This window comes from Homo sapiens, chromosome 13 (genome assembly GCF_000001405.40).
Source record: "Homo sapiens chromosome 13, GRCh38.p14 Primary Assembly".
Taxonomy (NCBI): Eukaryota; Metazoa; Chordata; class Mammalia; order Primates; family Hominidae; genus Homo; species Homo sapiens.
In genome coordinates, this window is record NC_000013.11 from 110,770,604 (window position 1) to 110,797,442 (window position 26,839).

Genomic DNA, 26,839 nt, shown 5'->3' on the forward strand with positions numbered 1-26,839 from the left:
AGCTGCTCAGGTGTTTAGAAGTTTGTGTTTTTCTTGTCAGGGACATAAGCCAGAGCCTAGAAAATTGGAAAGAATCTATCAGCCTCTGTGACTGAATTCAGATGGCTTTGAGCGTTTTTAGTCGGCAGTAGTAGTGTAGAGTAGAATGTACTGGAAATTGAGGTTCTCGTCATTGGCGCAGATGTGTGTGTGAGTTTGACGGGGACGGGCTCAGCAGGTGAGGCAACAGTCTTGCTCGCATTCATGTTTGGGGTGTGTGGAGGCTGGAGGTGGGAGAGGAGCTCTCAGTCCCCGGTCAGCCCCAGCTCTCATGACTTGCAGGACTGTGGACATGACATGAGGTGTCTGCTGCCCTCTCTGGTTCTTTCTGTTCAATCAGAGACAATGTTTTCACGTAGATTTTTGTCCCCAAACAATTCACTAATTGAGTTGTCACTAAATGGTTTCTGGCTGCTTTTTTTTTTTTTTTGGACGGTATCTTTCTCTGTTGCCCAGGCTGGAGTGCAGTGGCACAATCTCGGCTCATTGCAGCCTCAAACTCCTGGTCCCAAGCGATCCTCCCTCCTCAGCCTACTAAGCAGCTGGGACTACAGGTGCACAATACCACGCATGGCTAATTTTTGTATTTTTGGTAGACATGGGTTTTGCCGTGTTGCCCAGGCTGGTCTTGAACTCCTGGCCTTAAGTGATCCACCCACCTTGACCTCCCAAAGTGCTGGGATCACAGGCGTGAGTCACTGTGCCCAGCCACTGGGCTGCTTTTGTGTGTGTGTGCGCTTGCTTTTCATTTATAACCTTGCCCTTACAGGGGAGTTTCCTGCTGCCCCTGACGTCTAAGGGAGTGTTAATGTGACAAGGAAGGATGTGCTGATCTATGGCAAAAGGAACTTCCGGTTAAGTGGCCAGCCAACGCAACCATCAGTTAATAGAGGACTGGGAAATTGAAATTGCAAATCTGATACTGAATATCGTTCTTTAGTCACGGGGAATGTTTTCCATTTTAAAAAGATGTTTTTCTTTAATAACATTTTAAAGTATGTTTTTGAGGTTTTGATACAGATGGCTAAAGCTCAATGAGCCGTTCAACTTGTAGAAAATAATAGGAAGAATTTCAAAAAGAAATAAGCAAGTCGTTTCACCTCCTTTGTTTGAGGACAACATTGCCTGCTCCAGAGGTTCCCAAGGTTACTTAAGTCAGGGCACCCTTTTAGGGCATGGCAGCTTTTCTCGTGGCACCCCTTGGATAAAAGTAATACCTAACAGTTTTGTTTACTAAGTAATAATGCTCAGACAACTTAATAAATATCCATGTCCTCACAACCAGGTATAATATACAAAAATAACACACGTAAATCAAACTAAAAGAAAATATTTCATTTCATCCTTAAATAGCCAGGGCCACTGGCTCATGAGTGAGCACACCTGCTGGTCACACACAATTCCCCCGTCTCTGGAATCGCTGGACACAGTCACCCTCATTTCCTGGTCCACCTTGACTTTTGTTTGATTCTCGTTTTTTTTGTAGCAGCTGAGGAAAACCCAGCTCCACAAAGATATGGCATCGCCTACTAGTTTCCGGGAATGTGATTGTGTGTTCTGAAAGCAGAAACTGTCCTGTGGCACTCCTGGGAGTCCATGGTCTCACCAGTGTTCCTTAGCACACAGTTGGGAACCACTGGAGCAAGTCCAGTTTCAAGTTTGCAGCTGCCCTCTCGGGGAATGTACAGATGAAACATCAGCCACAGAAGGCTCCTCATCCACTGTCATGTGACTGTAAAAGATTTGTGAATCTGTAAGCAGCACTTAATGGAAGGTATCTCAATGGCAACAGAAGTCAAGGAAAATCCTTCACCTCTGCATCCCTGCAAGGGCACGTGATGCAAATTAATTTGCCAGATCTTCCTTTTTGGGTGAAAAAGTCCAAGTAACAGTGGAAAGAGAATTCTGCCTCTCTTGGCTATGCTTTGCTCTGTCTGGCCCCGAACTGAAAATTGAGCTCAGTTTCCTCATTCTGAAGTGATCTGGGGATGGCGCCTTTGCCCAGCGTGCTCAGGTGTGGTATCTGTCAGATTTGATCATTAAACCCCCAACAGGGACTGCTGGACAAGACAGGAGGATTGGGACTCAAGGTCGGGGATTGAGCACACGGAGCCTTTCTTGTGCTGATGACCGGTCAGACTTCAGCATGGCCCAGTCAGCTGTGGCCATTTCTGAGCCTGATTGATCCCTTTGGGAAATGACCACACATTAAAGGAAATCGGATTCAGTATAAAGCCTGATTTGTTGTTTCCGTGACTGGAAGGGACTTCCCAAATGGGCCCCTGCAGGATTACAGTATTGGGAGCTGCAATTATTTGAGCTCTGTGGCTGAGTTTCCATACAGAAAAAACAGACCAGAAATCCTTCCCTGGGTTTTGTAAAAGTTGATTCAGACAGATGGGCCTGTCTATTACATTTTTGCTCTGGGAAATAATTATAATTATTTAGATGGCTTAAACCTTCAGGTTGCTATGTATTTCTTTAAAGTCCATGTCCTTAATTCTACTGTTTTTCTTACTGATCAGAATTCTTAGACCTTTTCCATTTGGAAAACTCTTTCTCTAATCCCCACACGCTCCACTAGTCTCACCATAAATGTTTCTGCCCCTTTCCTTCAAGCCATGAAGGTTCACCAGGGTGAGAGAAACAGAAATGGCATCTCAATGTAAGCCGGTAGGAAATCCCTTCTATAGATTCATCCTTTTAGGATGGATCTCAATGTGAGATGAGGAATACATTTCCATGAAATTTCGTTGAATAGATAATCCACAACATTGGTGGAGGTGGAGAGAGAAAAGAAAATGTCTCCTTAAGTTAGACCCAAAGAGAACAGCCAATTATACACAGGTGGATGCCCACTAACCTGTTATTAAAATAAATTTTTAAGTTTTGAATGAATTTAGATTTACAAAGAGGATGCAAAGATAGTACAGAGCGCTCTCGCATAGAGAGCCCACACCCCATTTCCCCTGTTGGCAACATCTTATGTTATCATCGTGCATCGAGAAACCAGTGATGCCACCTTGCTATGGACCATGCACTCTGCACGTCATGTGGGTTTTGTCAGCTTCTCACAAATGTCCTTTATCTGTGTCACAGTCCCATTCAGAAACCTCATGTATAGTCACCGTGTCTCCCTGGCCTCCTCTGGTCTGTGACGGTTTTCTAGATGTTCTTTGCTTTTTAGTGACCTTGACAGTTTTGAGGAGAACAGGTCAGTATTTTGTAGGATGTCCCTCAATCTGGGTTTGTCTGTTTTCTCACGATTGAAGTGGGGTTCTGGGCTCTTGGAAATAACACAATAGAGGTGAAGTGCCCTTCTCTGGTACACATGTTCATGAATCTTGGCTGTGCATTTACCTAGCAGGGAAATTGCTGTGAAAGTGGGTGTGTGTATCTTTAACCTCTGTAGGTAGAGTCAAACAGTTTCCAAGGTGGTAGTCCAATTTACAGGCCACCAGCAGTGTCTGAAAGCTTCTGTTTTCCTACAACCTCACCACAGGTGTGTCATAGTTCATTCAAGCTACTATCACAAAGGATCTTAGACTGGGTAATTTATAACCATGGAAACATTGCTCACAGTTCTGGAGGTTGGGAAGTCTAAAATCAGGGCACCAGCAGGCCATTTGGTGAGGGCTGCTCTCTGCTCCATAGATGGTGCCTCACTGCTGTGTCCTCACATGGCATGAGGGATAAAGGACCAAACAGGCTCCCTCAAGCCCCTCCACTTCTTTTTTTGTTTGAGATAGGGTCTCGCTCTGTTGCCCAAGCTGGAGTGCAGTGGCATGATCTTTGCTCACTGAAACCTCTGCCTCTTGGGTTCAAGTGATTCTCCCGCCTCAGCCTCCTGAGTAGCTGGGATTATAGGCATGTGGCACCATACCTGGATGATTTTTGTACTTTTAGCAGAGACAGGGTTTCACCATGTTGCCCAGGCTGGCCTCGAACTCCTGAGCTCAGGCAATCCATCCGCCTTGGCCTCCCAAAATGCTGGGATTGCAGGCGTGAGCCACTGTGCCTGGCCCTCAACCCTTATATAAGGACACTAATCTCACTTACGAGGATTCCACCCTCATGACCTAGCCACCTTCCAAAGGCCCTACCTCCAGATGCCGTCAAATTGGTGGTTAGGATTTCAACAAATGAACTTGGTGGGAAATACACATTTGGACCACAGCAATGTATTACCGTCATTCTTTTTAATGTTATCCATTCTCTGTGTGTTGTAGAATCTCAAAGTAATCATTTTCATCTTAATGAGGGTGAGAATTTTTTTATATGCGATTGGCAACTTTAATACTCTCTTTGGCAAAGCACCTGTGAAGGTCTTTCCTGGTTTTCTATGGGGTTGTCTGTTATTTTCATATCTGTGGGAGTTCTTCGTATCATTGAGATACAATCTCTTTGTCAGTTAAATATCTTCTCCCACTCTATGGCTTGGATTTTTTGCTCATTTAAGGCTTCTTATAAAGGACAGAGTTCTTCATTAAAATGTCATCCAAAATTGCACTTTTTCATTTATGGTAGAGTTTTTTGTGTCTGCTTAAAGTGTCCTTCCCTACTCTGAGGTCATGAAGGTATTTTGCTGTGTTTTCTTACCAAAACATTACTGTTTCACTTTTCACATTTTGGTAAGCTGGTATTGATTTTTATGTATGGAGGCAAGTGGAGGTTAAATCTTTCTTTCTCCCTCTTCTTTTCCTTCCTTCCTTCCTTCTCTTTCTTTCTCTCCTTTCTTCCCTCTTTCTCTTTTCTTTCACCTCATATAAATACTTAATTGTCCCATCACATGTATTAGAAGTCCTGCCTTTCCCTGCACTCTGCGGGGCCACCTCTGTCACAACCCTGGAGGCCATCCATGCAGTGTGTTTCTGGAGTCTGTTCTGTTTCAGTGTTTTATTTGTCTGCACTATGGTCTGAACGTTTGTGTCCTCCCACATTTCATATGCTGAAATCTAATTCCCAATGTGATAGAATGAGGAGCTGGGGCCTTTGGGAGGGAGGAGTTCATGGGGGCAGATCCTCAGGAATGAGATTAGTGCCCTTGTAAATGAGGCCCCAGAGAGCTCCCACATCCCTTTTGCCATGTGAGGTCACAGCAAAGAGATGGCTTCCCTGAACCAGGAACCAGGCTTCACCAACACCAAATCTGCTAGCACCTTGATCTTCCACTTCCCAGTCCCCAGAACTGCGATAAATACATTTCCGTGGTTAGAAGCCACCTGGTTTGTGGTGTTGTGTCATAACAGCTAGGACATGCTGAGACGGTCTTCCACCTCCACCACGGCATCTCTGACCTTCAGCTCTGGGCAGTGCGACTGCCCAGCAGAGCAAGCTCCTGCCTGGATCCTGCAAGGCTCTTCCAGGCCTTTGCATTTTTGTATAACTCACTTAAAAAAATTTGGTAAGTTTTTACGTTGAAATAATTTGAATCTTACAGAAAATTTGCAAGAATAGCACAAAGAATTTCTGTAGATACTTCACCTAGATTCGCCAATTGCTGATACTTGCTTTATGGTCTCTCTCCTTCCATATGTATGTAATATACACATTATTTTTCTGACAATTTCAGAGTAAGTCACAGTCATGATGTTCCTTTATCCCTAAAGATTCCAGTAAGTATGCACTAAGAGTAAAGACATCCTCTTAGTAACTACAGGCACAGTTATCAAAATCAGAAAAAGAATGTAAAAATAATACATGTACAATACTGTTTTCTATTCCTCAGACTTTATTTATTGTTTTACCAATCAATTGTTCCAATAACATGTTTTTATGCAAAAACATTCTGCTCCAGGATCCAGTCCAGGGTCACATGTTGTACTTATTTCCTAGGTCTCTTCAGTTTTCTTTAATCTGGGGGATTCTTTAGTCTGGCTTTCTCTTTTGAGACCTTGACATTTTGACCACGATTTTGTAGCATTTCCTCACCTAGGGGTTGTCTCATGTTTCTTCCTGATTAAACTGAGGTTGTGAATTTCTGGCAGGAGAACCACAGAAGTGAGATGATGCCCTTTTCAGAGCAACGTCAGGAACACATGCTTCCCAGCGCCACACAGTTAAGGAGATGTCTGACAGTCCTCTTTTCTGTACAGGTAATATTTTTTTTGCTTTTGTAATTAGTATTTATTCTGAGAGGGAGATACTTTGATACTATGTAAATATACTGTTACACATCATTCTTTAATCCATTAGTTTTAGCATTTGTTGATGATTCTAATCTGAGTTGATTGTTAACATGGTGGTTTTCAAATGATGATTTTTCTAACCCCATTGTTCCTACATTTATTCCTTGGTGTTATGGGTTAATTGTGTGTTCATAACCTCTAGCACCCAAATTCATAACTCTTAGCACCTCAACATGTGCCCTTATTTGGAGTTTGGTCTTTACAGAGGTGATCAAGATAAAATAAGGTTATTAGGGTGGGCCCCAATCCAACAAGACAGGGGTCCTTATAATAAGGGAAGATTTAGGTGGAAAGACACACACAAGGAGGATGATAGGAAGGCCCAGGAGAAGGCAGCCATCTACAAGCCAAGGAGAGAGGCTTGAACAGATAATCCCCCAGCCTCAGAAGGAGTCAACCCTACGGACACCTTGATCTGGGACTTCCAGCCTCCAGAGCTGTGAGACAATACGTTTTTGTTGTTGAAGCCACTGGGTTTGTGGTGTTTTTTACAGCAGCCCTAGGAAACAGTTCTCTATGATAAGGAAGAGTTCTTTGGCCCTCCCTTATTGGTTTAGTTACTTTGATCAGTGTGAACTTAGGGGACTTTGCTGCTTGCATTGTCCTAGATGAGGCAGGAGAGTCCCACACACTGGTGCCATGTCCTCTGGACCTGCCTCATCATTGTTTTTGTCCAGGGTGTGACAGGCCCACTTTGTTCTCTCTCCATGCCTGGCCTGAAGTCAGCCTCTTTCCCACAGAGTCCAGGTTCCTGAGAGTGAAGAATGATGTTCAAAAACCAAGATCTGTGAGTCACGTAAGCTTTCTGAAACAGCTTGTCATTTTTCACAAACAGATCTGTTTGAATTGTGGTGGGATTTCAGTGACCTGTAGAATACTTTAGGGAGTGTTGATAGTTTTACAAAAACGAGGCTTCCTCTTGTTAAACTCTCCATTTTATGAGGTTTTCTTCAATTTGTCACTCTTGTAGTTTATGGTTTTCCATCTAGAGATACTGTGTGTCAATCAGATTTATTCCTAACTTTTTGATGTTCTTTCAATACTATTTTAACTTGTTTTAGCTCTTCTAAAACTGATTTTCTTACTGTTTATTATTGATATATGGAAATATAGTTGATTTTTGCCTGTTGGTCTTATGTCTAATAAACCAATTTACTGGTTCTGATAATTTATTCGTAGATTATTTTGGATGGTCTACACACGCAATTATATTTCCTGAGAAAATGGCAGTTTTATTTCTTCCTTTTTGATACTTAAACATTTAGCATCTTTTTCACACCTTTCTGCACTGGCAGGACATTCAGAACAAGGCTGAAAAGAGAAAGAGAGAGAAGGCATTCTTATCTTCTCACAGTCTTCAAGGGAAAGCTCTCAGCATTTCATAATTGAGTACGTTTGTGGTAGACTTTTTTTCTGTAAATACTTATTGTCATATTATAAAAGTTTCTTTCCATTTTAAGTTTACTATGAGATTTTCTAGAAATCATTAATAAATGTTGACTTTTAATGAAGGCATCTATTTATATCTACATCTATTAAGCTAATCATATGATATTTCTCCTTTATTCTGTTAATGTATGCAATTATATTGATTGTCTTTTTACTTTTGGAGACAGAGTCTCACTCCGTCACCCAGGCTGTAGTGCAATGGTACAGTCATAGCTCCCTGGCTCACTGCAGCCTTGAACTCGTGGGCTCGAGCAATCCTCCCACCTCAGCCTCCTGAGTAGCTAGGACTACAGGTACATGCCATTGAACCTGGCTAATTTTATTTTATCACTATTATTATCAGTATTATTATTTTTTGAAATGAAGTTTTGCTTTTGTTGCCCAGGCTGAAGTGCAATGGCACGATCTCAGCTCACTGCAAACTCCGCCTCCCACACTCAAGCGATTCTCCTGCCTCAGGCTCCAGAGTAGCTGGGATTACAGGTGCCTGCCACTATGCCTGGCTAATTTTTATATTTTTAGTAGAGACGGGGTTTCACCATGTTGGTCAGGCTGGTCTTGAACTCCTGACCTCAGGTGATCTTTGCACCTCGACCTTTCAAAACACTGGGATTACAGGCCTGAGCCATTGCACCGGGTCTGAACCTGGCTAACTTTAAAAACATTTTGTAGAGATGAGATCTTGCTATGTTGCCCAGGCTGGTCTCGAACTCCTGACCTCAAGTGATGCTCCCACTTTGGCCTCCCAGGGTTTTGGGATTACAGGCATGAGCCACTATGCCCAGCCGGATTGCTGGATAGTAAAACAACCTTGCATTTCTGCTATAAGCAACGGTTGATCACAATGTGTTACGCTTTTTATTTACTGCTGAGTTAAATTGGTTAATACTGTGTATAGAACTGTCTAAATGTCTTCCAGATGCTATAACAAAATACCATGGACTGGGTGTCTTTTTACAACAGAAACTTATTTCTCACAGTTCTGGAGGCTGGGAAATCCCAGACTGAGGTTTAATTATTTTGGCAGAGTCTGTGTCTGGTGAGGGCTTCTTGGTTCATAGATGGAGCCTTCCTGCTGTGTGCTCACATGGTGGAAGGGGCAAGGGAGCTCTCTGGGGTCTCTTTTATAAGGACATTCATCCCATTCACAAGGAATCTGCCCCATGAGCTCAAGACCTCCCAAAGGCCCTACCTCTGAACATTATCTATCACATTGGTGATTAGGTTTAATGTATGAATTTTGGGTGGACACAAACATTTAGTTTACGGTAAGAACTAAGTATCAAAGCTCTTGCGGCTTCATAAGACGAGCGGAGATCAGGCCCCTCTTTTCCCAGCACTGGCTTTAGCTTCTTCCTTAAATGTTTGGTAGAAGTCATAAGTAAGTTAACCCCTTTTCCATTTAGAAAAATAAAGTCCAGCTCACTGCCAGCGCTCATTTGCTTTTACATAAACACGCTCTTTGAGGCTGGAGCAAATCTAAATGATTTTCAATGTGAAAATAAAATATAAAAACTGTTCTTGGAGTTATTTCGAAACAGAACTAACATCAGAATCATCTGCATCATCAGAATCATCTATTTTAGAAAAATCGGATTTATCAAATGAATCTTCAGCAACAACTGTGAGAACCACGTTAACATCACGTGTAGGAATTCTACATTTTCTAGGATTTGACATTTTCAGCAATTGAGGATTATTGTATTTTGTAAATGGAAAATACCACTACTAAAAGCAGAATGCTATAAATAGAATGATGTATTTTGTTTCCAAAGTTGATACATTCGAGCTATGCAAAGATAATAATAAAAGTGAGATATTTTGTGGAGAATTATCTCGGGGTAAATGCTGCAGCCACAAACATAGCCAGCGAGTATGCTCAGGCGAACAGTAAAGGGTTAAGTTCTACCAACAGTAGGTTGTAACTTTATGGGAACTTGTCTACTTCATTTAATTTTCAAATAATTATAAAATTACGCATGACATCCTCTTGTTGCCATGTTTAATTCTGCAGGCTTTGTAGATATGCTCCCTTTTCATTTTTGATGTTGAATATTATTTTGTGTCCCCCACCCCCACTTCCCTGCCACTTGTTTCTTGGTCACTTTTGCCAGAGGATTATTTATTTTGCTAGACTTCTGCAAGAACCAAGTTTTAGTTTTCTTGATTCTCTTTACTGAGTGTTAATATTTTTAAATTTCTATTATTGTCTTTATTATGTTCTTCCATCTAGCTTCTCTGTGTTTATTTTACGTTTTTTCAACTTCCTGAGCACCAGATTCCCCTCCCTAGGCCTACTCATTGGCCTGACCATTTTACACACCCGTACCACAGAGCAGATGTTTGCATGTTTTGCCAGCTTTTCTAGTAGTGCTCCACAGAGAGTCTGGTCCAAATTACCCATTCAGTCATTACTGGAAGCAGAAATTTCTCATTTACACATTTTTAATCCCCATTACTTAGGAGTCTACTGACCATATTCAATATAAAAAAAGGAACAAAGTGTCCATTTTTATACTGCTATAAAGAACTACCTAAGACCGGGTAATTTATGAAGAAAAAAAGGTTTAATTGATTCACAGTTCCACATGGCTGGGGAGGCCTCAGGAAATTTACAATCATAGTGGAAGGCAAAGGGGAAGTGAGGACCTTCTTCACATGGTGGCAGGAGAGAGAGAGGATGAAGGGGAAAGTGCCACACTTTTAAACCATCAGATCTCATGCGAATTCACTTACTATCATGAGAACGGCATGGGGGAAACTGCCCCCGTGATGCAATTGCCTCCGACCGGGTCCCTCCCTTGACATATGGGGATTACAATTCTATTTTTTTTTTGAGACAGAATCTCGCTCTTGTTGCCCAGGATGGAGTGCAGTGGCACAATCTCAGCTCACTGCAACCTCCACCTCCTGGATTCAAGTGATTCTCCTGTCTCAGCCTCCCGAGTAGCTGAGATTACAGGCACACACCACCACACCTAGCTAATTTTTTGTATTTTTAGTAGAGATGGGGTTTCACCATGTTCCCCAGGCTGGTCTCGAACTCCTCAGCTCAGGCAATCTACCTGCCTTGGCCTCCCAAAGTGCTAGGATTACAGGTGTGAGCCACTAAGCCTGGCTGGGGATTACAATTCAAGATGAAATTTGGGTGGGGACACAGAGCCAAACCATATCATTTCACCCCTGGCCCCTTCCAAATTTCATGTCTTTCTCACATTGCAAAACCAATCATGCTTTCCCAACAGTCCCCCAGAGCCTTAACTCACTCCAGCATTAACTCAAAACTTCAAGTCCAAAGTCTCATCTGAGACAAGGCAAGTCTCTTCTGCCTATGAGCCTGTAAAATCAAAAACAAGTTAGTTACTTCTAAGATACAATGAGGGTACAGGCATTGGATAAATGCTTCCATTCCAAAAGTGAGAAATTGACCAAAACAAAGGGGCTGCGGGCCCCATCCAAGTCCAAAACCCAGTGGGGCAGTCATTAAATCTTAAAGCTCTGAAATGATCTCCTTTGACTCCATGTCTCACATCCAAGGTATGCTGATGCAAGGGGTGGGCTCCCAAGACTTTGGGCAGCTCCACATCTGTGGCTCTGCAGGGTACAACCCCCACAGCTGCTTTCATGAGCTGGTGTTGAGCTTCTGTGGCTTTCTCAGGTGCACATTGCAAGCTGTTGGTTGATCTACCATTCTGGGGTCTGGAGGATGGTGACTGTCTTCTCACAGCTCCACTAGGCAGTGCCACAGTGGGGACTCTGTGTGGGGGCTCCAACCCCATGTTTCCCCTCTGCTCTAACCTAGTAGAGGTCCTCCATGAGGGCTCCACCCCCTACAGCAGAAGTCTCCCTGGAAATCCAGGTGTTTCCATACATCCTCTGAAATCTAGGCGGAGGCTCCCAAACCTCAACTCTTGCCTTCTGTGCACCTGCAGGCCCAACATCATGTGGAAGCTGCTAAGGCTTGGGACTTGCCCCCTCCAAAGCAATGGCCCAAGCTGTATCTTGGCCCCTTTTAGCCATGGCTGTAGCTGGAATAGCTGGGACACAGGGCACCAAATCCTGAGGCTGCACAGATCAGCAGTAGAGCCCTGGACCTGGCCCATGAAACCATTTTTACCTCCTAGGCCTCTGGGCCTGTGATAGGAGGGACTGCCTTGAAAATTTTTGAAATGCCCTAGACACATTTTTCCCATTGTCTTGGCTATTAACATTTGGCTTCCCTTTACTTATGCAAATTTCTGCAGCTGGTGACTTGACTTTTTCCTCAGAAAATGGGTTTTTCTTTTTTACCACAGGGTCAGGCTACAAATTTTTCAAACTTTTATCCTCTTCTTCCCTTTTAAACATAAGTTCCAATTTCAGATCATCTCTTTGTGAACCCATATGACTGTATGCCTTCAGAAAAAGCCAGGTCACATCTTGAGGGCTTTGCTGCTTAGAAGTTTCTTCTACCAGTGTATTAGTCCATTTTCATGCTGCTGATAAAGACAGACCTGAGACTGGGCAATTTACAAAAGAAACAGGTTTAATAGACTTACAGTTCTACATGGCTGGGAGGCTTCACAGTCATGGCAGAAGGCAAGGAGGAGCAAGTTACATCTTACATGGATGGCAGCAGGCAAAGAGAGAGAGCTTATGCAGGGGAACTCCTCTTTAAAAACCATCAGATCTCATGAGGCTTATTCACTATCATGAGAACAGCATGGGAAAGACTTGCCCCCATGATTCAATTACCCCCCACTGGGTCCCTCCCACAACACATGGGAATTCAAGATAAGATTTGGGTGGAGACACAGTCAAACCATATCAGCCAGATACCCTAAATAATCTCTCTCAAGTTCAAAGTTCCACAGATCTCTAGGGCAGGGGCAAAATGCTGCCAGTCTCTTTACTGAAGCATGGCAAGAGTAACGTATGCTCCAGTTCCCAAGAAGGTCCTCATCTCCATCTGAGACCACTTCCCTGGACTTCATTGTTCATATCACTATGGTCAGTTTGGTCAAAACCAATCAACAAGTCTCTAGGAAATTCCAAACTTCCCCACATCTTCCTGTCTTCTTCTGAGCCCTCCAAACTGTTCCAACCTCTGTTACCCAATTCCAGAGTGACTTCCACATTTTCAAATATCTTTGTAGCAGCTCCCCAAGCTCCCAGTATCAATTTCCTGTATTAGTCTGTTTTCACACTGCTGTGAAGAACTACAAGAGAATGGGTAATTTAAGAAAAGAGGTTTAATTGACTCACAGTTCCACATGGTTGGGGAGGCCTTGGGAAACTTACAATCATGGCGGAAGGCAAAGGAGAAGCAAGGACCTTCTTCACATGGTTGCAGGAGAGAAAGAGGGAGAGAGAGAATAGGGGAAAATACCACACTTTAATCAGATTTCATGAGAACTCACTCACTATGATAAGGAAACCACCCCCATGATTCAATTGCCTCCCACCAGGTCCCTCCCTTGACACATGGGGATTACAATTCAAGATGAGATTTGGATGGGGACAGAGAGTCAAACCGTATCAAAAAGTAAAGGTGGTTTTGAACAAATGTGCTGGTACAGACCCATCCAAGTCACCGTGTTCTTGTCCAGATGGTTGGCTTGCAAGGTGCATATTTACCTCATGGTGCTGCCAGGATCAATGCTTTTGGAGTTCTTTCTCGGAAAATTTCTTCAGGCCAGCGTTCAAAACACCATTCTTCTAAAAAATGTTTAGTTTCTTAGAGCACTTTAGGTTTACAGCAAAATTGAGGTGTATTTAGGGGTATATGAGAGTTCCCATATTTGCTCCCCACACATGTGCACAGCCTCCCCTATTATCAAAGTCCCTCTCCTGTCCCAAAGAAAGTGCCTCATTCTGTATAATAAATCACTTTATTTATTAGTCTTTGTTTTTAGTTATTTTGAGTCACTGAAAAATTAAAACTTAATTTCAAAGAAAGAAGCTTTACAACTATTAGAATACCTCATGGGTCCAAAATACAGTCCCTGGTGGAAAATCCCAAATGTGCTTCAGACAGGTTGGGTGTGTAAGTGCAGAGTGCTGTGTGACTGTGTCTTGCTTGTCAGGCAGATGATATGTGACAACAAGCAGCATTGTTCTGCAAGCCGGGTTTTGTTGGTGCACACGCTCCATGCCTGAGAGGCTCATGATCATGGGCTCACCGTTTCTCTAGCTTTTTAACTCAGAATCAAAACACTGTAACTTCCCTTCAAGAACAAGTATTTTCTCACCTAATGTACAGCCTAATATCAGAATATTAGAATTGCATAACATTTTAGCTTCCAGTTGAGTTTCTTGAAACCTGTATTCAGATCAGAATGATCTTCTCATGAACTTATTCAAAGTTTCTGAATAACCATGGTCAGATCATGACAATTGATTAATCTCAATTCACTTTCAGGATTAAAGCCTGGGCTTCATAGTGAGAGAATTTTCAAGCCATCTGAAACTTTAAGTCATAAAGAACTTGAAAACTATTTGTCAGTAGCTATCAAAATTGTAAATGCACCCTTAACTCAGTCATTCTAGGTTTCTGTCCTGCTGAAACCATTGCACCACTGTCCAAGAATGTGTGTTCAAATCACTGAGGCATCATTTATAGCAGTAAGCAATTAAAAAGCAATCTATCTATGACTCAAGGACTGTTGACGAAATGTACAGCATATTCACACTATGGCATACAGTGCAGCTGTCAAAAAGAGTGAGGAGAATCTACTGCTCTGACATGAACATTTGCGAGAAAAGAAAAAGCTACAGATGAATATGTGTGCAGCCACTGTGGAAGCTGGCTGGCAGCTTTCAGACAGCTACACACACAGTGCATATGACCCAGCATTTCCAATCCTAGGTGCATACCCACAAGGATTGAAAACATATATCCCCACAAAAGCCTGCACATGAATGTTTATAGCAACCTTATTCATAACAGTGGAAACAACCCAAATGCCCATTAACTGGTGTATTAGCCCATTCTCACACTGCTATAAAGAACTTCCCCAGACTGGGTAATTTATAAAGGAAAGAGGTTTAATTAATTCACAGTTCTCCATGGCTGGGGAGGCCTCATGAAACTTATAATTATGATGGAAGGAGAAGTAGGTACATCTTACATGGCGGCAGGCAAGAAAGTGAGTTGGTGTCAGCGCAGGAAAAACTGCCATTTATAAAACCATCAGTTCTTGTGATAATTTACTCATTATCATGAGAACAGCATGGGGGAAACCACCCCCATGATCCCATCACCTCCCTCCCTTGACACATGGTTACAATTCAAGATGAGATTTGGGTGGGGACACAGTGCCAAACCATATCAACTGGTGAGTGGATAAATGAAGTGTGGTCTGTCCATCTGGTGAATATTACCTGCCATAAAGAGGGATGGAGCACCGACCCATGCCATGGCATGGAGGAGCTTGGAAAACATAGTATTCAGGGAGGGATGCCGGTGGCAAAAGCCCACGTGTTGTTATGACTCCATTTGTATGAAATGTCCAGAATAGGCAAATCCATAGACACAGAAAGCAGATTAGGGGCTGCCTAGGACTTGGGATGGGGGTAAGGGAGAGTGGGCATTCCTGCTACAGGGTAAGGGGATTCTTTGTGGGGTGAAAATGTGCTGAAGTTAGATAGTGGGATATCATGCAACTCTCTGGATATACTAAAAGCTACTGAATTTCAAACTTTAAAATGAGTGTTATCATATGTGAATAATATTGCAATAAAGCTGTTATTAAATAATACAGAGAATACAGTCAATTTTTTTTGAAAAATGTGTATGACAGAGGATGGGAAGCCTTTCCCCCAGCTGGTCATTGTTGTTCTAGAGTTGAGACATGAGGCAGATGCCCTCTATCCTCATACATTGTATCATTTATCAATACATCATGTCTGTGTTGATTGCACTTTCCATGAGTATGTATTACTTTTGTAACTAGAAAAAAATTGTTGAGGGGAGAAAGAAAAAAACTTCTCTTTAAAAATAAGATTTGATAGCAGGAGCTGTGATAGACTGATAAGTCAACTTCATAAAAAATTAAAAAGATCTTCATGGAAAAATATCACCAACTTATGGGAAAATGTAATGAAAAACAAAGTGTCTTGCCAACCCAGAAGATCGTGCCACAAAAGTAGAAAGTAGAGAAGAAAAACAGTGTTTTTAATTGAATAAGCATGAAACCAGAATGTGATGTGCATCACAGGCTTTCGCCAAGAGATGGCAAAGATGGAAAGAAATCTCCCCCTTTCCTTCTAGGCGATACAACCTGCACATTCATGTTCTCAGTAGAAACAAGGTAGGAGGACTTGACAGCACCACTTGCCACACTTAGCTCATCTTCAGCTCACCTGGTAACTGGGTGGCCATCTGTGTTTGCTAATTGTAGTTATCCAAAGGAAAAAGAAAACTTCTCCTATCTTCATGACAGGAGAGAGGCTTGCAGCTGGGAGCCAGGCACCCACAAGTCAGCTCCTGCTCTCCCATGGAAACTGGGAGAGGGACTGCTCTCTTCCTTGATGCATTTCAAAGAGATGGCTTCTAGGTTCTTGGGAAAGACATTCCTGGGTTGTAATGCTGGCAAGAAGCTTATTTAGGTTTGATATAGTTTGGATGTCTGTCCCCACCAAATCTCATGTTGAAACATGGTCCCCCATGTTGGGGGTGGGGTTTAGTGGGAGGTATTTGGGTCTTAGGGGCAGAGCCCTCAGGAATGGCTTGGTGCTCTCCCCATGGTAATGAATGAGTTCTCACTCCGGTAGCTCACATGAAAGCCGGTTGTTTAAAAGAGCCTGGCATCTCTCTCTTGCCCTCGCTCTCACCAGGTAATGAGCCTGCTTCCCTTTTGCCTTCCGCCATGATCGGAAGCTCCCTGAGGCCTCTCCAGAGGCAGATGCTGGAGCCATGCTTCCTGTACAGCCTGGAGAACTGTGAGCCAAATAAGCCTCTTTATAAATTACCCAGCCTCAGGTATTCCTTTATAGCAACGCAAAATGACTAACACAGGTTTAAAAAATAGCTACACACTTCTGAAACAGACAGAGAGAGAATGTAAAATAACAAATTGTCTAAAGTAAATGCTTTAAGAAAAGGGAGAGGGGAATCTCTTACCCCTTTTTGTAGTAGGAAAAATTAATTTTTAAATAGTTTTTGTTTTGCATTTACCCTTATACAAGAAAGGTAGTGTCACAGACAAACGCTTAGTGTCTCTAATATATAAAGATTTCCTGCATGCCCTACCATTCTCACCCATGCTCCTGCCTTGTGGGAATATATATTTGTATATTCTTGTGGAGGGCAATTTGACAAAATCTATAAACGTTGAAATTAATGTGACTTGTCATTTTCACTTTCAGAAATTTATGTTACAGGCTTAATCACACAAATGGCAACAGATGTATGAACACAAGTATGTTCACTGAAACAACATTAAAACCTGTTTATTATGGAAAATGCTAACCTTATTCAAAAATAGAAAAAATAATAATGAATTTGTGAGTGTCTGTATCCCAACTTTAGCAATTATCAACTTGCAAGCAATCTCAGTTTGTCGATTTCCTCACTACTTTTAGTCCATCGTAATATTTTGAAACAAATCACAGACTTCACATCTTTTATCCGTATACATTTTTGTATATATTTCAAAAAAGTAAGAACTCCTAAAAACAACAATACAATCATCAAACTTAAAGTAACAGTTATTCCTTAGTATCATCAAATATCTAATCAGATTCTGAATTTTCAATTGCATCATAAATGTAACTTGTTTTAACAGTTGTTTGTTTGTGTCAGGGTCCTAATCAATTCCAGATATTTTGAATGGTTCTTAGTCTTTCAATCCATAAATCTTTACTTTTTTTCAAGAAACTAAGTTATTTGCCCTATGGAGTTTCTCACACTTTGGATTTTGCTTGTTGCATCTTCACTTTCCATTTGATGTATTCTTTTGTCCCTGGGATTTTCTGTAAATTGATAGTTGGATTCAGATGCACGTTTTTGTTTTTTGACAAGGCTACATAAGAGTAGGCCATTCTTTCGGGCGCGGTGGCTCACGTCTGTAATCCCAGCACTTTGGGAGGCCAAGGCAGGCGGATCATGAGGTCAGGAGATGGAGACCATCCTGGCTAACACGGTGAAACCCCGTCCCTACTAAAAATACAAAAAATTAGCCGGGCGTGGTGGCGGGCGCCTGTAGTTCCAGCTATTCTGGAGGCCGAGGCAGGAGAAAGGCATGAACCCGGGAGGCGGAGCTTGCAGTGAGCTGAGACCGCGCCACTGCACTCCAGCCTGGGGGACAGAGCGAGACTCCGTCTCAACAACAACAACAACAAAAAAAGAGTAGGCCATTCTTCCATCCAGAGGTACAAATACTTCACATGGCAACAACTAGGGAGCAATAATGTGTCCACCAATAGAGAACTGACTAAATCACTATGGTGCTTCCATATAGTGGGACATGATGCAGCTCTAGCCACACTTACTTGGAAATATTTCCAACATATATTCTTAAATATTAACAAGTGCTAAAGAGCATGTATAGTAAGAACCATTTGCTTTTCTTTGTTTTCTTATTTTGGATAAAAAAACATTAAAACAGCAGACGTGGGTTGTCTCCCAGCTCTAGAAGCCATGAGTCTGAAGTCAAGGCGTCGCGGGGCTGTGCTCCCTCTGAAGGCTCTAGGGAGGCCCCGTCCTCGCCTATTTTACCTTCTGTGGCTGTGGCCCCTCTTGGCGTTCCTTGGCTTTAAATGCATCGCTCCGGTCTCTGCCTCTGCCGTCACTTGGCTTCCTCCCTTGTCTCTTCGTATAACCTTCGCTCTGTTCTGCCTGTCTCCGTGTTTCTTCTCGTAAGGGCACCAGTCATATTGGGTTGGGCACAGCCCTACTCCAGTATGACCTTATTTTTACTTAACTAATTTTATCTGCAATGACCTATTGCCAAATAAGGACACATTCTGAGGTACCAAGAGTTAGAAGCTCACATGTGTTTTATAAGCCCTAGGGCAACTACTAAAAAACTTTTTTTGAAGGTTTATAAATCATAAGTCAGCAGTGAACATACATCGAAACTATAACTCGTAACTTAGTTTCCTGGAAAAAATAAATTGTAAAATTGAAAGATGTATATATTGAAAGACTAAGAACCATTCAGAATATCTGGACTTGATTAAGATCCCAATACCAACAAACAACACACTGTTAAAAGAAGTTATAACATTTATGATGCAACTGAAAATTCAAACACTGATTAGATATTTGATGATTCTAAGGAACAATTGTTAACTTTGTTTGATGATCATATTTTTATTTTTAGGAGTTCTTACTTTTTTGTAATATACACTAAAATGTGTATGAATAAAAGATATCAATACAACTTAACCTACAATAAATATAATAAATATTATTGTGCTCCCTACCCTGAATATTAAAAAATGTTAATGATGAATCATATTTACTTTAGTTTAAAAATAAAATACATAAAACATTACTGGTAATTATATAGTTGAAACCTCCTTGGTGACTTTTTCCAAGCTCAGTCTCCTCCTCTCCACAGAGGGATCACTGTGTATCTCTGTTCAGTCAATATTATTATAATTTTGCTGCATAAAAACAGACAGGCCCATATAGCCTTACACACAATATGTCTTCTTTTTGTGTTCACAAAAATTTACAACAAGCGTATCTTGTCTCTGCCAATAGCTTTTCTCCTCCTCAACATTACATTCTTATACTTAAAATGGGCCTTGAAAACAGCATATAGTTGTGGTTTGCTTCTTAGCCAAGCTGGCAGTCTCTGTCTTTTAATTGGTGCGCTTAGACCATGCATGTTGAATATCATTATTGATGTGTTTGAATTAAAATCTGCCATCTTGTTAGCTATTTTCTACTCACTCATTCCATCTGTCTTTGCTTCTTTTCCCTTTTTGTCTTAGTTAACACTTTTATAATTTCAATATATCTCCACTGTTGACTTATTATTTATAAACCTTCAAGAAAATCTTTAGTGGTTGGTTGCCCTAGGGCTTACAATACACATCCCTAGTTACTCAGAGTGTGGCTTCATGTAATATTTCACAGCTTTCCATGCAGGTTCAGAAGGCTGTCATTTGCATGAATCCACTTCTGAGCTCATTCAGGTAGCTGGCCAAATGTAATTTCTGTGGTTGTAGGACTGAGGTTCCAGATCCCAGTGGGCTGTCAGGCAGGGGCTGGACTTTGCTCCTGGAGGCTGCTCACATTCTCTCTCCTGCTTGCCATGAGTTTCCGTCCAGCAATGAAAGATCAAGCTCCTCCCATGCTTTGAATTTCTGACTTCCCTCTTTTTGCCATATCTCTTTGCCTTCAGCTAAAGAGAGTTCTCTGTTTTTTGTTGTTTTTTTTTTTTTTTGACAGAGTCTTGCTCTGTCACCCAGGCTGGAGTGCAGTGCAGTGGCCCCATCTCAGCTCACTGCAACCTCTGCCTCCCGGGCTCAAGCGATCCTCCCACCTTAGCCCTCCCAGTAGCTGGGACTACAGACATGCACCATCATGTCTGGCTGATTTTTTGTATTGTTTGTAGAGACAGGGTTTCACCATGTTGCCAAGGCTGGTTTGGAACTCCTGAGCTCAAGCAGTAGGCCCACTTCAACCTCCCAAAGTGCTGGGATTACAGATGTGAGCCACCATGTCTGGCCAAGTTCTCTGTTTTTAAAGGGTTTTGTAATTAGAGTTGGGCCACACTGATAATGCAGTATAATCTTCCTATTTAATTCATAATCTTAACTATATCTGCAAATTCCCTTTTACCACATAACATACCCTCTTCACGGATTCAGGAATTAAGACCTGGACATCTTGGGTGGGGGGACATTCTGTCAATCGCAGATATCATAGTCCTTCTGTCTCAAGAACTTCCTTTAACATTTCTTGTGGTATATATCACTGTCAATGAATTCTCTCAGTTTTTGTTTTTCTTCTGCATTTTGAAAGATATTTTTTGCTGGGTATAGAATTCTGGGTTTACAGTTTTCTTTCTTTTAGCACTTAAAAATATCACCCATTGTCTTCTGACTTACATGGCTGTTGATGAGAAGTCTGTTGCAGTTTTTGCTTGTTCTTCTGTATGTTAGATCTCTTTTTTTTCTCTCACTGCCTTTGCAAATTTCTCTTTGCCTTTTGTTTTCAGCAGTTTAGATAGCATATACCTAGTTATTGTTGTTTTAAATCTTTTTTGGTGATCTTTGAGCTTCTTGGAAATATGCTTTACTGTCAGTCAGTAATTTTAGAATATTCAGCATTATTTGTTTGAATTTTCTTCTGTCTCATTTTCTTTCTCTGTTTGCCCTCTGCTATTTCAATAATACATTTGTTAGACATTTTCCTACAGCTCTTAGATTGTCTGTTCCATTTTTTCTTTTACTCATTTTTCTTTTGTGTTTCAGTTTGGGTAATTCTACCTGTCTTTAAGCTCACTGATTCTTTCCCTGGCTGTGTCAGTTCTGCTACTGAGGTCCTCAAAGGCATTCTTCATCTCTATTATGACACTTTTTATATCTAGCATTTCCAATTGGTCCTTTCTTATAGTGTCTACAACTTCACGTGTAGTGTAAGAATCTTATAATTCTTTGTTCCTAATTCCTCTCTCCCATCATTGGTGCTATTATATTTTATAAATAAGCACACAATACGCTACTACTACTTTTGGTTTAGATAATCAGCTATCTTTTGGAGGATTCAAAAACAAGAAAAAATGAATTTTATTTTATCTTCATTTATTCAATTTTCAGCACTCTTTATTTCTGCTAAAATTACCTGTCTTAGTCATCTCAGGGTGCCATAGCAAAAATCATAGACTAGATGACTTGAACAACAGAAATTTATTTCTCACACTTTAGGAGGCTAGGAAGTCAAGGATTAAGATGCCAGCTTGTTCTGCTCCTGGTGAAGGCTCCGTTTCTGGCTGCCTGTGGCCATCTTCTCACTGCACTCTCACGTGGCCTTCCTTGGTGCATGCACATGGAGAGAGAGGAAGGAAATGAGGGACGGATCTTGCTCTCCTCATACAAGGACAGTAATCCCTCACAAGGGCCCCACTCTCATTACCTAATCTAACCCTAATTATCTCCCAAAGACTTCCCTCCAAATGTCGTCACATCGAAGGTTAGGGCTTCAACATATAAATTTGGGAGGAATGAAAACACCCAGCCTATAACATTACCCCTCTGAACTTGCATTGTCTTCCTATTTCATCAGGGCCTTTAACATGTTAATCACAGTTATTTTAAATTCCCCATCATTTAGTTCCAACATCTGTGTCATATCTGAATTATTTGGTTTTGCTCACTGCTTTGTCTTTTAGGTGTGTATTGTTTTCTTGCATTTTTGTATTCCTCATAATTTTGTGCTGAATGCTAGACATCTTGAATGGGAGGTCAGAAACTAAGGAAAGTACTTTAAAGTTAGAAAATGACAATGTCTTTACTTTGGCTAGGTGTTTAGGGTGGTGGTTTGGGTTAGTCTAGTCAGTAGTTCAGCTGGAGTTGAGGTTTGTCATTGCTATGGTTATCCATGGTGTGCTGCATGCTTCAAATTGGTCTAGTGTTAGTGAGGGCAGCGGTGGCCCATTTGGAGTGGCTGCTGCAAAGATGCCACCTGAAGCAGAGGAGGCATGGCCAGGGTTGCATGCTCTGTGAAGTTGGTGGGAGCTGGGAACAGGTGGGAGCCCTTCTCCCTCCCAAGTTGGCAGGGTGGGAGGCCTGCACTCCTGGGTGCAACTGCACCTGCCCAGCCATGGCTCCAGACCCAGGTATCCCTGAGCTCTTGAGGGCCCAGGAAGCCACCTTCCTTCACAGGCTCCAAAGTGCCTGCTCCTGCCACCTGGCCTCTCCCTGCTCCCAGTACCCACTCAGGGCTGAAGCATAGTTGTGGCCAAGCCTGGGTGCTATCACAACCTGGCTGGGTTTGCGCACACTCAGAGCTGTGCTGTCATGCCAGCCCCCTGCTGTCTTAGCCTCCTCCGAGCTTTGGGTGCCAACAAGTATGGGAGGGAGGTCGAGGAGGTGCTGAGGGCACCTCAATATGGACCTGTGGGCATCCTTTCAGCACAAACAGCCTGAGCACGTGGACAACATGTTGATGGTGGCAGGAGGCAGACAGGCTCCTTGGCAGAAAGGGGTGGGTCCCTGGTGAAGCTCCACCTTCAAGCCAGGGATAGCCTGAAGCATGGGGGCTGGCTGTCAGTTAGGAGTGGAGTCCACAGCCCGGAGTGAGAACTTACAGTGCTTTCTCTGGCCCACCATGGCCACCCATAGACCAATCAGCATGCACTTCCTCCCTTCTGAAGCCCATAAAAACCCTGGACTCAGCCAGACTCAGAGACTTTGGGACTACCAGCTGTGGGACAGAGCTAACCACTTCAGGTCTCCTTGACTAGTCAGGACAACCAGCCTGTGGAAAGGAGCTACCCTCTGTGGGCCTCCTCTCTGCTGAGGGCTGCACACTCGTTGGGATGACTCACTTGCAGAAAGGAGCTATCCACTCTGGGTCTCCTCTCCACTGAGAGCTGGACACTCATCAAGATGAGCTGCCTGCAGATAGGAGCTACCCACTCCAGGTCTCCTAAGAGCTGTCCTGTTGCTCAATGAAGCTCCTCTCCCCCTTGTTCACCCTCCAGTTATCCTCATACCTCATTCTTCCTGAATGTAAGACAAGAACTCCGCACCAACCAAATGTCGGGACTGAATGGGCTGTAACACAAGCAGGGCTGAAACATGCCCCCCGCTTGCCATGTTGCAGGCAATGAGAAGGTGAGAAGAGCTGTGGCCCTTCTGGGAGCCCAGCCCTCGGGGTTCCCTGACCTAGGTCTGTGATATGCTGTAACACCCTCTTTGGGGCTCTGGGGTTCCTGGTGCCCCTGCTAATGTGCCATTGCATTCCCCTTGTCCAGATGCTGGCGCCTGCAATGGAAGCTGCCTGTGGTACGTCTGGTCCAGTTTCAGCCTCTCACAGAGCTGGCACCTGTGCCGGCACCTGGGGCTGCCTGTTCTGCCACAGCAGCCAGTATGCCTGGCTGTGTACAGTGGCTGGACCCTGCGCTTGCTCGCCCACATATCCCTCGCCACTCTGCGTCTGGCTCACCCTTGGCAGGTGTGGAATCTGGGCTGGTAGCATGAGCTGAGTGCAGACTGCCAGGCTGAGTGGGTGAAACAAGCCCAGCTGGTGTGAGCAAAACCCAAGCAGAGGTGCCGCTGGCCACAGAGGTTTCCAGCTGGCAAAGTGACACCCAAAAGATCTTGTGACATTAGCTTGTCTTTAGGGTGGGGCTGGTTTTCCAGAGGGTTTTTCTCTGTGTCTGCTCTACCTTCAGCTGCGGGGCTTCTTGACCCTGGGTCTCAGTGAGAGTCTGTCTTTGCAGCTCTCTCGGAAGTGTCTCACTGTGACTTTGACTTGATGCCTGCTACCTCGTGAAAGGGAAAAAATGTGCTCCACAATGTTCTCATCATGCTCAGTGTTAGGCTGGACCGAATCCAGACCCTGCATCCCTGGGTTTCATGGGTATGGCTTTCAGACATGCTTCTGCCCTTCTGCAGGTGTTGTCCTGGACCCAGAATGTACACATGTCCTCCCAAAGGTAGATTGTTTTGTTTCTCTTCCCTCCCTCTAACCCCAGGTGCAGTGGGTTTGACAAATGCTTTAAAATGTAATTATTTTGGTGCTCCCCTCCCCAGATTAAGGCTTTTGTTCCAAAGGAGACAGGAAAGGTCTGGGCGGAGTTTTGTGTTCCTCCTGCAGAGGCTGCTCCCCCGCTGCCCAGCAGTATTCCAGTGCTGCCTTTACTTAGCGCTTTTTAGCCTATGTTCGCTGGCCAAGAGCATGTGTTCACTGATGTTCTATATTATGCTTCAGTACAAGTTTTCTAGGCTTATGACATGAGGGAAGCTTGTTCAAGACTCCCCGTGTTCTCCCTGAGTGCCTGATTGGTCTGATGTAGGAAAAACTACAAAATGGTAGGAACAGCCTACATCTGTGGCCCCCAAGGGCTTGTGCTCTCCCACCAGCTTCTCCTCATGGTGTCTGGCTGCATCTGCCCCAGGTAAGCAGGTGTCTGCCTTGGGCCCCTGTTTCTCCTCTAATTCCTAGTGAAGCCATGTCCTTTGACCTCAGTGTTCTTATGGGTTCAAGAAAAGTCATGAATTTTTAGCTTGCCTTTCTTCTTGTTATAAGGGTGAAAGCAATAAATATTCTTTCCAGCTTTTGACATCCACAAGTAGAAACTGAGATGGCATTCGGATTTTAAAATCTACTCGTGCTTTTGAGTAGAATCCGTAGATCAAGCAAGAAACCTGTTTATATTTTGAATAGATACTTGTAGACCTATTTTTAAAATGGCTGTATGGCATTCTATCTTATAATTATGTGATAGTTTATCCCCTTTTTCTATTGCAACTGTGCTTGCACACATTTCTTGTGTAAACTGTGAGTGTTGGTCAGAGTATATCTTAGTGGACAAACTGCTAGGTTTTATGAAAAATGCATTAAAAATGCATGACATTAAAAAAATCTCATGCAAGACATTATATGTATATGTATAAGTGTATGTGTATGTATATGTATATGTATATGTGTATGTGTATGTATATGTGTATATGTATGTGTATGTGTATGTATATGTGTATGTGTATGTATATGTATATGTATATGTATATGTATATGTATATGTATATGTGTATGTATATATGGAGAGACAAGGTTTTGCTCTGTCACTCAGGAGTGCAGTGATATGATCACACCTCGCTGAAGCCTTAACCTCTTGGGCTCAAGTGATCCTCCCAGAGTCCCATACGCAGCCTCCAAGCTGAGTATGGGAGCATCACTTGAGCCAGGAATGTGCGTACCACCACACTTAACTAATTTTTAAATGTTTTATAGAGACGAAGTCTTGCTATGTTGCCCAGGCTGGTCTTGAACTCCTGGCCTCAAGTGATCCTCCTACCTTGGCCTCCCAAAGTGCTGGGATTATGGGTGTAAGCCATCATGCTCAGCCTGGTTTCTTAAATTTTAAATTTACCATTCCCTGATTACTGGTGAGATTGGGCAAGTCTTTGGATTTTCATTGGCTATTCTGGTTTTTTTTCTTTCCACCAACCTGGATGCTTAAAAAAATTACTCTTTATACACAGAATGCCTGTAGAAAGGTATAACAAACATTAACATAGGGTGACCTTGGAGGAGGGAGGTGTGTCTTGGGGTCAGACAGGAAACTTTTTAATGTGTCACTTTCTGACTTAAAGAAAATCATGTGCATGTATGAACTATTTAGGTGGGTAAATTAATATTTATATATATATAACTGAGACCAGTCAGTCCTAAGCACTGCCATTAGTTGTATGAATGGAGGTTCAGAGCCAGGGCCACCATAGCTGGGAGCCTGTGAGCAGGGAGCAGGAAATATGACCGCGGAGGGACAGAATCTATAGAGAGGCAAAGGGAGCAGTGGCCAGGGAGGAAGAACTAAGGGGCTAGTGTGGTCAGAGTAACCTCCTCGGTCCCTGGGATGGTTTTCCACATCCAGGTTCCCAGTAGGTCCAGCCTGCTTTCTTTTCTTTTCTCTTTTTTTCTTTTCTTTCCTTTTCTTCTTTTCTTTTCTTTCTGTTCTTTTTTTTTTTTTTTTTTTACATTTTCTTCTTTCTTTTCTCTTCTTTTTATATCTTTTTATCTTCTGAATAAATTCTACTCTCATTAGAGCCAGCTTCAGTTTCTGTTGCTCATGGCTGTAAGTACTGTGACTGGCACATTGCACCAGAGGCGGGGGTCATCTCACAGATAAGAGCAAGGTTCTGGCACCGCTGTGCCTGGGTTCAAACCCTGGCCCTGCCACTCGCTAGATGTGTCACTATCATTTTGGTGCTTCGCTGATGAATAGTATTTTGTTATATTTTTCCATTCTCCTGCTGATGGGCTTTTGGCAATTCCCAGCATTTGGCTATCACAAATGAAGCTGCTGTGAACGTTCTAGTCCATGTTCTTTGGTGAACATGTGACATTTTTGTTAGCCAGAAATGTAGGAACTGGTTTGCTTGTCATAGATAGGCATTTGTTCAGCTTTATAGATACTGCCACACAGTTTCTCGAAGTCCTTTTGCCAATCTGCACTCCCCCAGCAGCGTGTGCCAGCTCCAGCTGATTCACTTCC

General features: G+C 42.8%; 1 long non-coding RNA gene across 4 annotated transcripts, besides 2 other annotated features; it reads left to right on the forward strand.

Annotated features, from left to right (window-relative positions):
* The first annotated feature begins 740 nt into the window (after positions 1 to 740).
* On the forward strand, positions 741 to 7,742 carry LOC107984613 (uncharacterized). Of its 4 annotated transcripts, XR_001750024.2 has the most exons (4): positions 741 to 5,443; positions 6,027 to 6,134; positions 6,968 to 7,014; positions 7,523 to 7,742. It is a non-coding gene; the product is annotated as an uncharacterized LOC107984613 (long non-coding RNA). The 4 variants fall into 4 exon arrangements; XR_001750023.2 differs by having other exon boundaries at positions 6,027 to 7,014; XR_001750022.2 differs by having other exon boundaries at positions 6,968 to 7,742.
* Positions 22,627 to 23,127: an enhancer, noted in NCBI's record as "H3K4me1 hESC enhancer chr13:111445577-111446077 (GRCh37/hg19 assembly coordinates)". NCBI's record gives its function as "activates a minimal SCP1, AML or CMV promoter by ChIP-STARR-seq in primed H9 embryonic stem cells {active_cell/tissue: H9 hESC(primed)}" and the evidence as "EXISTENCE:reporter gene assay evidence [ECO:0000049][PMID:30033119]".
* Positions 23,239 to 24,136: an enhancer, noted in NCBI's record as "H3K4me1 hESC enhancer chr13:111446189-111447086 (GRCh37/hg19 assembly coordinates)". NCBI's record gives its function as "activates a minimal SCP1, AML or CMV promoter by ChIP-STARR-seq in naive H9 embryonic stem cells {active_cell/tissue: H9 hESC(naive)}" and the evidence as "EXISTENCE:reporter gene assay evidence [ECO:0000049][PMID:30033119]".